Here is a 15,399-nt window from a genome sequence, read left to right as displayed (position 1 = left end):
CACGGTGAAACCCCATCTCTACTAAAAATACAAAAAAATTAGCCAGGCGTGGTGGCGGACGCCTGTAGTCCCAGCTACTTGGGAGGCTGAGGCAGGAGAATGGTGTGAACCCGGGAGGGGGAGCTTGCAGTGAGCCGAGATGGCGCCACTGAACTCCAGCCTGGGCGACAGAGCGAGACTTTGTCTCAAAGAAAAAAAAAAAAAAAAAAAGAACAAGTACTGATTAAAAAGGTTAAGGGGTTATGTGAGGGGAGGGGAGTTTTGTGGCCCAGGCTGGTCTCGAACTCCTGAGTTCAAGGGATCTGTCCGCCTCCGCCTCCCAAAAGTGCCGGGATTACAGGCATGGGCTACCGTGCCCTGCCTCTTTACTGTTTTATTGGGATGTACCTCCATGGATCTTCACTAGTATTATATCATTTCATCCTCAAAACAGCTCTATCAGGTAGTTAAATCAGATAACGTAAATATCTTCCCAGTTTATGCCTATTATGGGCATGGTGGCTCACACCTATCATTCCAGCACTTTGGGAGACCAAGGTGGGAGAATCACTTGCGGCTAGGAGTTGGAGACCAGCCTGGGCAACATAGGGAGATACCCCCATCTCTAAAAAAATAATAAACAATATTAGCTGAACGTGTTGGTGCATGTCTGTGTGTGCCTATGGCTTCAGCTACTTGGGAGGCTGAGGTGGGAGGATGCCTGAGCCGGGAGGTCGAGGCTGTGTCAGTCATGATTGCACCACTGCATGCCAGCCTGGGTGACAGAGCAAGAACGCTGTCTCAAAAATAAAAAATAAAAAAGCAAAAGAAATATCTTCCTCTAGGACCACAGCTGTAAAGAGCAGAGCAGTTTCCCTCTCAGCTTAAAAGGCTAAACGCTGATGTGCTTGCACGCTAGTGCTTGGCCCATGCATCTTTCTCTACCTCAGAGATATTATTGTAGGGGTCAAAGGTACCTAATCTAATGCCTGGGATATAGTACCTATGCTCACTAAGGTTCATTTGAATTTATTTATTTTAATTAATTAATTAATTAATTAACTTTTTGAGATGGAGTCTCGCTCTGTCGCCTAGCTTGGAGTGCAGTGGCGTAATCTCAGCCCACTGCAACCTCTGCCTCCCAGGTTCAAGCAATTCTCCTACCTCAGCCTCCCAAGTAGCTGGGATTGCAGGCATGTGCCAACATGGCTGGCTAATTTTTTTTTTTTTCCTGAGACAGTGTCTTGCTCTGTCGCCCAGGTTGGAGTACAGTGGCACAATCTTGGCTCACTGCAAGTTCCGACTCCCGGGTTCACACCATTCTTTTGCCTCAGCCTCCTGAGTAGCTGGGACTACAGGCACCCGCCACAATGCCCGGCTAATATTTTGTATTTTTAGTAGAGACAAGGTTTCACCCTGTTAGCCAGGATGGTCTTGATCTTCTGACCTCGTGATCCACCTGTCTCAGCCTCCCAAAGTGCTGGGATTACAGGCGTGAGCCACTGTGCCCACCTGACTAATTTTTGTATTTTTAGTAGAAACGGGGTTTCACTCTGTTAACCAGGATGGTCTTGATCTCCTGACCTCGTGATCCACCTGCCTTGGCCTCCCAAAGTGCTGGGATTACAGGCATGAGCCACTGGGCTCACCTGGCTAATTTTTGTATTTTTAGTAGAAACGGGGTTTCACCATGTTGGCCAGGCTGGTCTCGAACCCCTGACCTCAGGTGATCCACCCAGCTCAGCCTCTGAAAGTGCTGGGATCACAGGCATGAGCCACCGTGCCCAGCACATTTGAACTTATTAAGTAATGACCATTGAATTTTATTTTTCTGAGTTTTAGTTGTTTTGTTTGTTTGTTTGTTTGTTTGAGAAGGAGTCTGGCTGTGTTGCCCAGGCTGCAGTGCACTGGCGGGATCTTGGCTCACTGCAACTTCTGCCTCCCAGGTTCAAGTGATTGTCCTGCCTCAGACTCTCGAGTAGCTGGGATTACAGGTGCCCGCCACTACGGCCAGCTAATTTTTTCGTATTTTTAGTAGAGATGATGTTTCACCATGTTGGCCAGGCTGGTCTCGAACTCCTGACTTCGTGATTCGCCCACCTCGTCCTTCCAAAGTGCTGGGATTACAGTCGTGAGCTGCAGCGCCTGGCCTGAGTTTTAGTTTTAAAACTGACCAACACTACATTTGTGTCCTCTTTTCAACTCCTGTTATCCAAAGCATTTATGCTATAAGTAATACCTTCTTTTTCTTTTGGCTATTTAGTTGAATATAACCAGCTTTGTTCACACAGGTAGAGAAAGACCTACAGTCAGCCCTCTGTTTCCGTATTCGTGGGTTCTGCATTCATGGATTCTTTTTTATTATTATTTTGAGACAGAGTCTTGCTCTGTCCCCCCAGGCTGGAGTGCAGTGGTGTGATCATGGCTTACTGCAGCCTTGACCTCCTGGGCTGCAGCAATCCTCCCACCTCAGCCTCCTGAGAAGCTGGGACTACAGGCACATGCCACCATGCCCAGCTTGCTTATTTATTTATTTATTTAGAGACGGAGTCTTGCTCTGTTGCCCAGGCTGGAGTGCAGTGGCACCATCTCGGCTCACTGCAAGCTCCGCCTCCCAGGTTCATGCCATTCTCCTGCCTCAGCCTCCCAAGTAGTTGGGACTACAGGTGCACGCCACCGCGCCTGGCTAAGTTTTTGTATTTTTAGTAGAGACGGGGTTTCACCGTGTTAGCCAGGATGGTCTTGATCTCCTGACCTCGTGATCCGCCCGCCTCGGCCTCCCAAAGTGCTGGGATTACAGGTGTGAGCCACTGTGCCCAGCCTAATTTTTTTTTTTTTTAAAGAGACATGAGTTTCCCTGTGTTGCCCAGGCTGGTCTCAAATTCCTGGGCTCAAGGGATCCTCCTGCCTCAGCCTCCCAAAGTGCTGAGATTACAGGCATGAGCCGCTGTTCTGGGCCATTCGTGGGTTGTCCATCCGTGGATTCAACCAAATGCCCATCAAAAATATTTGGAAAAAATATTTTCCAAATGTTTACAATATTTACATTGTATTAGGTATTATAAGTAATCTAGAGATGATTTAATGTATACAGGAAGATGTGCATAGGTTATATGCAAATATTACACCAATTTATATAAAGGACTTGAACATCCATGGGTTTTGGTGTCTGAGAGGGTCCTGGAACCAATCCCTTGAAGATACAGAGGAATAACTGTATTGTATTGGCCAGGTGGGTCACATGTAGGAATGAGACAACTCAGGTGTGTACACATAGTGGCGCTGGGAAGAAGGCAGCCTGTTTCGGCCCTGCTGTGGCTGTTCTGCCTCTGGCGCCATCTTTCACACCAATGCATGGTGGCTGCAATTTAAATCCGATGTGGAAAATTCAAGTAGGTAATAAGAGCCAAGTGGTGCCGAAGGTTGGCCCTTGTAGGCCTGGAGGGCCTCAGGCTCAGTGTTGGCTCAGTGTTTATTGTCTGCCCTTCTGTTGCTGGGCATCCCAGGGCCCACATGCCAGGGTACACAGGCATTCTGAAAAAGGTGCAATTGCTGTTTCTGATTAGAAGAGCAATATATGATTATCGATAAAATTTGAACATGCAGAAAAATAGCAAGAGGAAAATAAAAATTACTTGATACGCTCATTACTCAGAGTAGTTATTTTCTTCCAGTTCATTGTCTTTGCATTTTTCTTTAGTTGCAGTCACACTTAATAAAATTTTCTTACTTTGTTACATTTGCTTGAAATATATATAAGTTAGCTGGGTGTGGTGGCTCACGCCTGTAATCCCAGCACTTTGGGAGGCTGAGGCGGGTGGATCACCTGAGGTCAGGAGTTTGAGACCAGCCTGGTCAACATGGTGAAACCCCATCTCTACTAAAAATACAAAAATCAGCACGCCTGTAATCCCAGCTACTCGGGAGGCTGAGGCAGGAGAATCGCTTGAACCCAGGAGGTGGAGGTTGCAGTGAGATGAGATCATGCCATTGCACTCCAGCCTGGGCAACAAGAGCGAAACTCCATCTCAAAAACAAAAAACAAAAACAAAAACAAACGTTAAAGGCCAGGCACAGTGGCTCACGCCTGTAATCCAGCACTTTGGGAGGCCGAGCTGAGTGGATCACTTGAGGTCAGGAGTTCCAGACCAGCCTGGCCAACATGGTGAAACCCTGTCTCTATTAAAAATACAAAAATTAGCTGGGCGTGGTGGCGGGCACCTGTAGTCCCAGCTATTTGGGAGGCTGAGGCAGGAGAATTGCTTGAACCCAGGAGGCAGAGGTTACAGTAAGCCGAGATTGTGCCATTGCACTCCAACCTGGGTGTCAGAGCAAGACTCCATCTCAAAAAAAATAAATACATAAAGTTAAAGTGGGCACGCGTGGTGGCTCATGCCTATAATGGTGGCTCACACCTGTAATCCCAGCACTCTGAGAGGCTGTGGTGGGAGGGTTGCTTGAGTTTAGGAGGTCAAGGCCAGCCTGTGTGAGACCCTATCTAAGTTAAAGCACTTCCCCGTACGTTTAAAATCTCTTCATGGGCATCGTTTTCCTTGCTGTGGCCTGCCTGCCTTTTACTCAGTCATACCCCCACTGGTGAACACGCCAGTGACTTCCAGTTTTCACTGTTTTACATAATGCCAACATGTACATCTGAGTTCATGACTCTCAACTGGGTTATTTCCTTAGTATTTTTGGAAGTGAAATCACCAGGTCTCAGCATACTCTTCAGGTTATCGTAACATCTTGCCAAGGACTTCTCAGAAAGACTATGAGCATGAATAGAGGGTTCTTGACTAGTGCCTCACCTTAGTGAGGTTTTTGGGAATGACCATTTTTCTTTTTTTTTTTGAGACAGTTTCGCTTTTGTTGCACAGGCTGGAGTGCAGTGGCATGACCTTGGTTCACTGCAACCTCTGCCTCTAGGGTTCAAGTGATTCTCCTGCCTCAGCCTCCTGAGTAGCTGGGACTACAGGCATCTGCCACCATGCCCAGCTACGTTTTTGTATTTTTAGTAGAGATTGGGTTTCACTATGTTGGCCAGGCTGGTCTCGAACTCCCAACCTCAGGTGATCCACCTGCCTCGGCCTCCCAAAGTGCTGGGATTACAGGCGTGAGCCACTGTGCCCAGTCATGACGATTTTTCTTTTTCTTAATCTTTGAACATTTGAATGGTGGCAGTGGTTTCTTGTGGCTTTAATTTGCATTTTTAATTTAATTTAATTTAATTTTTTGAGGCAGGGTCTCGCCCTGTCACCCAGGCTGGAGTGCAGTGGCATGATCACAGCTCAATGCAGCCTCAACCTCCCGGGTTCAAGCGATCCTTCCACCACAGTCTCCGGAGTAGCTGGGACTACAGGTGTATGCCAGCATGCCCAGCTCATTTAATTTGCATTTGTTTGATTTGCAGTCAGCATGAACTTTTTCCATGTTTACTAAACATTTCCCCTTGAATGCTTTCCTTATTATTTGCATATGCTCTAATATATATATATATATTTTCTTGAGATGGAGTCTCACTCTGTCACCCAGGCTGGAGTGCGGTGGCACGATCTCAGCTCGCTGCAACCTCCACCTCCCAGGTTCAAGCGATTCTCATGCCTCAGCCTCCAGAGTGGGATTACAAGCTCGCACCACCACACCCAGCTATTTTTTGGTATTTTTAGTAGGGGTTTCATCGTGTTTGTGAGGCTGGTCTCGAACTCCTGACCTCAAATGATCCGCCTGCCTCAGCCTCCCAAAGTGCTGAGATTACAAGCATGAGCCACCCGCCCCCCGCCTCTCTAATATAAATTTTTGAATAATTAGCTGAATCTGTAGCATACGCTGAAAACCTTTCCCTTGTTTGTTGCTTGCCTTTAATTGTATGATGTTTTAATACATAAACATTTTAGTTTTTAGCAGTCACGTCATTTACTCTATGGTTTCTTCCATTGTTTTTAAGTGTAGAACGTTCTTCCCATTGATAATTCAGTTAAATATTCCCTTACCTTTTTTTTCTAGATTTTGCTCTTATTTTCACTTAACTGTTTAATAATTTAATTTTATTTCGATGTGAGTGATAAGAAACCAGCTTCTTATCTTTCTTGCCTAGCCCTTTCCTCTTATCTTAATTGAGATTTCTAATTTCTACGGTATTTCTTAGCTTCAAAACATCTCCAAGTAGTGTTAAATATAGTTAAATTTTACTACACTGTACGTTATTTTCTGAGAACAAATTATAGTCTTTCAAGAACTAACGGGCTAAATGACTTCAGTCAGTTCTTTTCACCTCTCTGGGCCTCAGAATCTGTAAAATGAGACTTGGAACAGATCCGCTTTTCTACCAAGTATTCCAAGGAGCACAAGTTTTTTAGGGTTGAATGAGAAAAGAATTTTGTGGTCAACTCTGTTTGGGAAATTCTCAGTTATATTAAGTGTAAGAGGAATTTTCTTTTCATTTTATTTTACATTCAGTATTATCATTTATTCAAAAGCAAGTATTGAATGCCTCCTAGGCCAGGCATTGCTAGAGGTAGAGCCCTGAGCGACAACATAGTCCTTGTCCATTGAGCAGGCCATGGATTTCAAGGATATTATGAAAGAGGAAATCTGGGACCGGGTGTGGTGGCTCACACCTGTAATCCTAGCACTTTGGGAGGCCAATGTGGGTGGATCACCTGAGGTCATGAGTTCAAGACCAGCCTGGCCAACATGGTGAAACCTGGACTAAAAATACAAAAATTTTCTGGGCGTGGTGGCGGATGCCTATAATCCCAGCTACTGGGGAGGCTGAGGCAGGAGAATCACTTGAACCCAGGGGGCTGAGGTTGCAGTGAGCTGAGATTGCACCATTGCACTCCAGCCTGGGCAAAAAGAGCGAAACTCCATCTCAAAAAAAAAAAAAGGAAAATGGGAGTGCATGGCAGGGGGCATCCTCAAAGAAGTGCTGAGCCCCACAGGATGAGGAGGAGTTGCCCAGGTTATGATCGAGAGTGGCAGAGAAAAAGAGCAAATGCCCCTATTGAGAGAGCGTGGAACATTGGAGACACTGGGGAAGTCCAGCCTGAAGCCAGATGGATAGGGAGCTCAGAGGCCTTTTTAGGGATTTTGAACTTTATTCTCAGGGAGACATGAAACTATTGAAGATTTTCATCAGGGGAGTGATATATCTGTTTTTCTGGGAGCTTCTGGCTGCTTTGTAGAGAAGAGGGAGAGGGAGGCAGAACCATTAGGAGGCCCAAGGTGTTTTAGGGGAGAGACGTCATGCTGGCAGTTCTGAGTAATGGAGTGAAAATGGGGCAAAAGTGGACAGATTTCAGAACAGTTTTGGAGATGTAATTGCAAGAAGTAAGAGAAAGCTAAAAATCAGAAACGACTCCCAGATTTCTGGCTTGTGCCATTGGGTGGATACCATTTCCTGGAGTATGGAAAAAGTGATATTGACATGGAGACTATGAGGTGGAGGGCGGGATGTGTGGAGACCGATGAGCTCTCTTTTGGAGCTGATATTGTGAATCCCTAAAACAAATACTATGTAGCATCTGTCCCGTTTATTTGACCCATATGCATTTCTGTTTTTCAGACAATCTCTTGGGGCCAGGGTTCCATGGAACACATGTTGGTAAAGGCTAGTTTAGCTACTCTCAGGGGTCCTTCCCAGCTCAAATATTCTCTTTTCCCACAATGCTAATGAGAACCAGAAAGTGAACTGCATTGGCTGATGTTTTAAATAAACTTTTTAATTGAATTGTGAAAAAGATGTAGAAGATGCTCACCTCCTAAGTGCAGAGCTTGATGAATTTTTACATAGTGTGCATACCCGTGTAACCACTGCCTAGAGCAAGACAGCATACATTATTGCAGATGCCTCCCAGAGTGCTTGATTTTTAAGTATGAAAAGCTTTGGAGGAGTGGGCCATTTGGCTGAACCATCACTTCCATTCTGTCTTCCAGGACAAGTTTGAGGATACAGTGGTACAGAGCAGCTCAGACTCTGAGTGCAGCAGGAGTCTGGTGCACTTGGCCTCTTTTTCTTGGAAAGGGCATTAAAAACTAATGGATGAAGTGAAGGATGTTCATCCGGAGTTGGCCTCACCTGCCAAGTGGCCTTTGTGTGAAGATCTCAGGAAGGAAGGGAAGGCCCCTCATCCATTTGTCAAATAAGCCCCAGCAACCCTTGTTGCCTGAGGTTAACAATGACACAGTTTAGGGTCGACAGATATTGATAGGGTTAATGAGTGAATGACTACCAGAATCTCTGCTTCCTGCCCAGGTTCTAGTCTGCAGATGCCAATGCCTCTGAGAAAGCAGCGTTCACTGGCAGCTCAGTATCAAACTCCAAATGAGAGAGTAAACGAACACATGAATGAATTCATTTCCTGGACCGAAACGTTCCTCCCCTACCTCTTTCTCTGATGACTCTTCTATCTGCCTGGCCCTAATTTAATTGTCTCCCCACTCCAAGAAGCTATCCCTGAGCCCAGATGGTGTCAGGTCCTCTCCTCATATACTCTCCCAGCACCTTATACTTCCTAATGCTTGCACCACTGCTGTTAACAACGGTTCGCTGCCCTATGCGCACAGAAGCCAACAGCTAGGCAGGAAAGACATTTTTTTTTGTTTTGTTTTTGTTTTAATTAATTAATTTTTTTTTTTTTTAGACGGAGTTTCACTCTTGTCGCCCAGGCTGAAGTGCAGTAGAGCGATCTCGGCTCACTGCAACCTTTGCCTCCCAGGTTCAAGAGATTCTCCTGCCTCAGCCTCCTGAATAGCTGAGATTACAGGCATGTGCCACCACACCCAGCTGATTTTTGTATTTTTAGTAGAGGAGGAGTTTCTCCATGTTGGCCGGGCTGATCTGGAACTCCTGACCTCAGGTGATCCACTCGCCTCGGCCTTCCAAAGTGCTGGGATTACAGGCATGAGCCACTGCGCCCGGCTGGCTTTTTTTTTTTTTTTTTTTTTTTTTTTGAGATGGGGGTCTCACTATATTGACCAAGCTGGTCTCCAACTTCTTGCCTCAAGCGATCCTCCCATCTTGGCCTCCCAGAGTGCTGGGATTACAGGCGTGAGGCACGGTGCCTGGCTGAGACAGGAAAGGCTTTATTGCAAAACCTGCCAGCAAGGAGATGGGAATTGGGCTTAAATCTGTCTCCCTGACTTGGGGTCTGGGGCAAGTTTATGGGCTCGGAGGGAGAGGGAAAGGATTTGGGAATGTTGGCTGGACAGGGTCCAATTGGAAGGCTTCAAATTTGGCCATTTATGGTAAGGTATGTGGAGGCCAATTTTAGTCCCGGATCTTCCGGCCACTGGACCCCTCGCTTCTGGAAGAGTTCCGGAGTTCGGGTTCCGGTCATGTCTCAGTCTTCTTGGTTCCGAAACGAGGAATCGTAGGTTCCGGGTGTTGTTAGAGGGTCCAGCGTTTTCTATTGCGCCTGCCTGGGCTCCATGACGTGAGAGCTTTTTGGCTGTGTTGTACCTTCAAGGTAACTGACCATTTTGTTATCAACAGAGTAGGCCCAGTGTGGGCTGGTCTCAAGGTAACACAACCGTCAGCAAATAGAAGGCCCCTAGAGGTTGTCCCATGCCTGAGAGGAGGCCTAATGAGGAAGCCGCCCAGAGCAGGGCCACTGACCTTGGACTTCCCGGGCTCAGGTCTTGGCTTCCTCTGTTGCTCACCAGCTTGTGCCTTTAGGCAGGTTACTTACTTTCTCTGTGCCTCGGTTCCTTTGTCAGCTGAATGAGGGCGAGTACAGTACCTACCTGAGTCATGCCATGGATATTAAAGGAGAGGATATTTATGAACAGTGCTCAGTGCAGTGTCTGGGGCATGGGAGGTGCTCAAAAAACACTTGCTGTGTGAGTGAACGTTGAGTTACTGTTAGACTGAGGGGAGGTGGAAGGTCCTATGGGGTCTGAAAAAGGAGAGAGGTGGAAAAAGCAGGGGTTTGGGGGTGGGAAGGAGGGTGACAATGAAGGAGAGCATGGGATAATGCCACAGAAGGCGACTGCGACTTTTTTTTTTTTTTTTTTGAGACGGAGTCTCGCTCTGTCGCGCTGGCTGGAGTGCAGTGGCGCCATCTCGGCTCACTGCAAGCTCCACCTCCCGGGTTCACGCCATTCTCCTGCCTCAGCCTCCCAAGTAGCTGGGACTACAGCCGCCCGCTACCACGCCCGGCTAATTTTTTTGTCTTTTTAGTAGAGACGGGGTTTCACCGTGTTAGCCAGGATGGTCTCCATCTCCTGACCTCGTGATCCACCCGCCTCGGCCTCCCAAAGTGCTGGGATTACAGGCGTGAGCCACCGCGCCTAGCCAGGAGACTGCGACTTCTAATACACTTTCATTTTAGGATAGGGCCTGACTTGCTTTTACCCATAAAAAAAATGCCTCTTAGCATTTGCCCAAGTTAGAATGAATCTGGCCTTGGAGATAAAGAAGCCATTGTTTTCATGTAGATGTCACGAAGTCTGTCTCTTCTTAACGCTACTTCCTGCCTTGGGAATTTGGGCAGGGGGATCACCTAGGTTGGACTAGGCTTGGCTGCTGGTGCCTACCCTGTTGGATAACCTGGCGATAAGGAGAGAAGAAAGGGTGGGGCCCATCCCAGAGTGTTTACCTGTGATCCCTGCAGATGTTCCCAGTGGGGGAAGTACTCATGGACCATCACACCTTCTTCTCCAATTCCCTTTATATTTTTATTTATTTATTTATTTATTTATTTTTGAGACGGAGTCTCGCTCTGTCGCCCAGGCTGGAGCGCAGTGGCGCGGTCTCAGCTCACTGCACCCTCTGCCTCCCAGGTTCAAGCGATTCTCCTGCCTCAGTTTCCCGAGTAGCTGGGATTACAGGTGTGCGCCACCTTGCCTGGCTAGTTTTTTGAATTTTTAGTAGAGATGGGGTTTCACTGTGTTAGCCAGGCTCAGGTGATCTGCCCGCCTTGGCCTCCCAAAGTGCTGGGATTATAGGCATGAGCCACCATGCCCGGCCCAATTCCCTTTTTAAATTTAGATGTTTATGGACTTGATCTCATTCTACCTGAAAATATTTTTAAGGGTGGGAGGTGGAAGCAGAAAGGGATTTACAGAAAAGATACATTTGGTCATTTATTTTCTGGCCTACTTAAGATGTGGTTTTGAAGACAGCAGAGGCCTATGATCTGTTGGCTCTCTAGATGGCTTCCAGCCCTGTGACTCTATGATCTAATAGAATTTATAGCATTAAATATTCCAGTAGTGACTTGCAAAGATTGCTTTGAAGGGATTACAGATGGTTCTGTAAGTATATACTTTTAGAAGAACATAATGCAATTTGCTTTCTAGCCCAAAGCCCTAAAAATAATTAGGTAGGAGTTCAGACAAGTGTTAAAAGACAGTTGTTTCTGGTGAATCCAAGTGGCTTTTAAAAAAATCAATTTCACTTCTCATCAGAGGAGGGCTTGCATTTTAGATTGCTCATGGTTTGTTGAATAGCGACGCCCAACGAGCACACTGGCATTAAAAAAAAGTAAGCAATGAGAAAAATTAGTGTGATATTCCAAGCTCAAATTAAGTATAATAGAGTGAGGAAAAGAATTTCAGAATGCTGGAGTGAGTAATGTAACTGAGACCTAAGCACTCGCCTTTAGGGATTCTTACTTGGTCCAATTGTGACTTTAACATATGTCTTCCATCTGTCTCTGTCTGTTGCCCCTCATGCCTTGGAATAGTTCTGGCCCATCTGGTTTCCTTTCATGGGATCCGAGGGAGACTTTCTCAGTGAAGTGCGGGTCAGAGTTCAGTTTTGGCTGCACATAGAGAGGTGGAGATCACTCAAGGAGGAAGAGAAGGAACTAAGGACATGCCAGCAGTGAGGGTCCGGCTGCCAAGGGCTCTCGGGGGTGGGCCCCCGAAGATATTTGGCAGGCGAGAGGGAACCATTCAGGAGCTTTCTTTTCCATAACTTTTTATAATAAAAAGAGCAAAACGTTAACATAGAAAAACTAGAAAAAACAGAATAGTATAAAGAGGGAGACAAACATCCCTTGTAATCTTATCTCTCATTGTGGGGTTTTCTGTTTTTCTTTTTGGTTAGGGAGAGATGTGAAAGTGATACTCTTAGAACAGTAACTTGTTAGATGGTAGTAGGTGTTATGGGGCAGGGGGAAATTCAGTAAGGAGGCAGACTGGGAGTGTAGCAGGGCCCAGGGTGAAGTGGGTGATCAGGGAAAAGCCCACAGACTGGGGATTTTTAAATAAAGAACTGAGGCTGACTGGCCACAGTGGCTCACGCGTGTAATCCCAGCACTTTGGGAGGCTGAGGCGGGCAGATCAGTTGAGGCCAGGAGTTCAAGACCAGCCTGGCCAACATGGCAAAACCCTGTCTCTACTAAAATTACAAAAGTTTGCTGGGTGTGGTGGCACACACCTGTAATTCTAGCTACTTGGGAGGCTGAGGCACAAGAATCGCTTGAACCCAGGAGGTGGAGGTTGCAGCGAGCCAAGATTGCGCCACTGCACTCCAGCCTGGGCAACAGGAGTGAGACTCTGTCTCAAAAAGGAACTGAGGCTAGGTGCTGTGGCTCATGCCTGTAATTCCAGCACTTTGGGAGGCTGAGGCAGGGGGATCCCTTGAGCCCAGGAGTTAGGGATCAGCCTGGGCAACATAGGGAGACCCTGTCTCTACAAAAAATAACAATAATAAAAAAAATTAGCCAGACATGGTGATACTTGCCTGTGGTCCTGACTACTTGAAAAGCTGAGGTGGGAGGATTGCTTGATCTGGGAACTCAAAGTTGCAGTGAGCCGAGATTGCACTACTGCACCCCAGCCTGGGTGACAGAGTGAGACCCTGTCTCAAAAAAAAAAAAAAAAAAAAAGAATAAAGCAAGACTAATGGGGTTGAGGAAATGAGCACTGGTTACCTGGAGGTGGGAGTGTGCCCTTCAAAGGAGGAGGGCGTAATGGGGAGGAGGGAAGCCCTCAGCTGGCTGCTGTAAGCTGTCGTCTGACTCGGAGAGGGGTGAGGGTGGAAGTGAGCAGAGAAATGGCACGTCCACAGAAACAGGGAGGTCCGTCCATTTCCTGGCGCACATTAGCACCACCTGAGTGGCTTAAAAAAACAGAAGTTTACTTTGGGAGGCCGAGGTGGGTGGATCACCTGAGGTCGGGAGTTCGAGATCAGCCTGACCAACATGGAGAAACCCTGTCTCTAATAAAAATACAAAATTAGCCAGGCATGATGGCGCGCGCCTGTAGTCCCAGCTACTCGAGATGCTGAGGCAGGAGAATCGCTTGAACTCAGGAGGTGGAGGTTGCAGTGAGCCGAGATTGCACCATTGCACTCCAGGCTGGGCAACAAGAGCAAAACTCCGTCTCAAAAAAACAAAAAACAAAACAAAACAGAAGTTTACTTTCTCACAGTTCTGGAGACTGGAAGTCTGAAATCAAGATGTCAGTAGGGCGGCTTCCTTCTGGGTTCTTGCAGGCAGGACCTGTCCTGAGCCTCTCTCTCAGCTTCTGGGAGTGGTCAGCAGCCCTTGGCTTGTGGACGCATTGCTCCACTCTCTGCCCCCGTCCTCATGTTGCCTCTCCTCTCTTATTAGAATCCTTGTCATTGGATTTTGGGATCATCCTAAACCAGGGTGATCTCATTTTGAGATCCTGAATTGTATCTGTAAAGACCCTTTTTCCAAGTAAGGTCACACCCACAGGCTTTGAGCAGATATATCTTTTTGGGAGCTCCCCATTCAACCCATTTTAGAAGGTCACCAGGAGGAACCAGTTTCTGGAGGAAGGTGATATGTGGTGATTCTCTACAGTTTCACAGCGCACGTGCCGTCTCATTCTCCTCAAAATCTATGAGTTAGTTTTGCTTCTCTCAGCAACATCATCCTGAAAATGACCTGGCCATAAAGAGCCAAGTTCATAACCTTGAACCTTTCCAAGACATTTCCTCAAAAAGCCACAGCTCTACTGGTGTGTTCCCATCTTGTGATCTGCCCTGATAAATGACTGATCCTGGAGGACAGTGCGTGGCCCTGTCACTGTTCTAAGATAGCCTTTATTTGAGTGAATGAAGGGATAAATGAATGGCCAATTAAATCTGACCTCTGGCCAGTGTTGAAATTCAGTGATCTTCTGATACATAATGTCAGTGGTTCTTATGCTTTTTTGTGGAGTCAAGGGTGTCCTTGGGAATATGATGGAAAATAATGGATCACTCTTCCCATACAATTGTACTTATTCTCACCCGGGCATGGTGGCTCACAACTGTAATCCCAGCACTTTGGGAGGCCGAGGCGGGTGGATCACCTGAGGTCAGGAGTTTGAGACCAGCCTGGCCAACATGGTGAAACCCTATCTCTACTAAAAGTACAAAAAAATTAGCCAGACGTGATGGCGCACGCCTGTAATCCCAGCTACTCAGGAGACTGGGGTAGGAGAATCACTGGAACCTGGGAGGCGGAGGTTGCAATGAGCTGAGATCGTGCCACTGCACTCCAGCCTGGGCAACAGAGTGAGACTCCATCTCAAAAAGAAAAAAAAAAGTACTTATTATATACAATTCCTAGGAATTCCCTGATAGAGAGTCAACCAGCCCATGAGAAGGTGGCCACAGAGCATCTGAAAGTCATGGCCACATTTTTCTTATGAGAACTAGATGGACCTGAAATCTTTACCCAGTAAAACTTCCCACCCTATTTCATCTCATGTGGCGTGGCAAAGAAGATTGGACCTGGAAGTTTTCTAGGGCCCAGTGTGCCAGAGGGCTTAGAGGAGAAAAGAGACTAAACAGAGGGCCTGGTCAGGAGATGGCAGATATAATCCAGAGGAGAGGCCACGAGGGCTCTGCCACTGGCTCTGGGAAGGTCAAAGCCCACACTCCTTTCTGGAGCTCACTGGGTAATAAGCTGCCTGCAGCGAGCAAAGGAAAGAGGACTTAAAAATGACTCCAGGCGTGCAAGCCTCAGAGTCAGGCAAGACCCGCATGGTAACCTATAGGAAGAAGGGAACTATTTTTATAAGTTCAATCTGTAGCTTGTTGAATCTTTATAAAGTCCATATTTAGTTTGCAGTCTTTAAATTCTAATCACAGAGCTTATAGAAATGATAGAAATGAGTAGCATTTATAAGCATTTTGGACTTCCTTCTCATAGCAAAAATGGACTTTAATTGCTGTCAGCTTCAGGTTACTGCTTACCTTTTTCTCTGACAGCCATTTTTATTTGTCTTAGGATCTGCATTATATTATATATAATTGCGAAATGAAAGTGTCCTAAAGTTAAATAAAATAGCTTTTAAATGGCACTTACAAACAGTTTCTATTGAACCCCCAACCTAAATCATAAAAGCTTACAACTCTTAAGAGCACTGTGTGAAGATAGTATATTGTGAAACATTTCAGATTGTACAGGATGTGTTTAAGAGGAAAAGGAAGCCCTATGGGCTTACAGAGGCTTA

The 15,399-nt window shown here is 46.5% G+C and overlaps 1 annotated feature.

Annotated features, from left to right (window-relative positions):
- Positions 9,062–9,867: an enhancer, noted in NCBI's record as "H3K27ac-H3K4me1 hESC enhancer chr7:148626232-148627037 (GRCh37/hg19 assembly coordinates)". NCBI's record gives its function as "activates a minimal SCP1, AML or CMV promoter by ChIP-STARR-seq in naive H9 embryonic stem cells {active_cell/tissue: H9 hESC(naive)}" and the evidence as "EXISTENCE:reporter gene assay evidence [ECO:0000049][PMID:30033119]".

This window comes from Homo sapiens, chromosome 7, assembly GCF_000001405.40.
Source record: "Homo sapiens chromosome 7, GRCh38.p14 Primary Assembly".
In the NCBI taxonomy this organism is placed as follows: domain Eukaryota; kingdom Metazoa; phylum Chordata; class Mammalia; order Primates; family Hominidae; genus Homo; species Homo sapiens.
The sequence above is the reverse complement of the archived record's forward strand: the minus strand, read 5'-3'. Positions and strand labels throughout refer to the sequence as shown.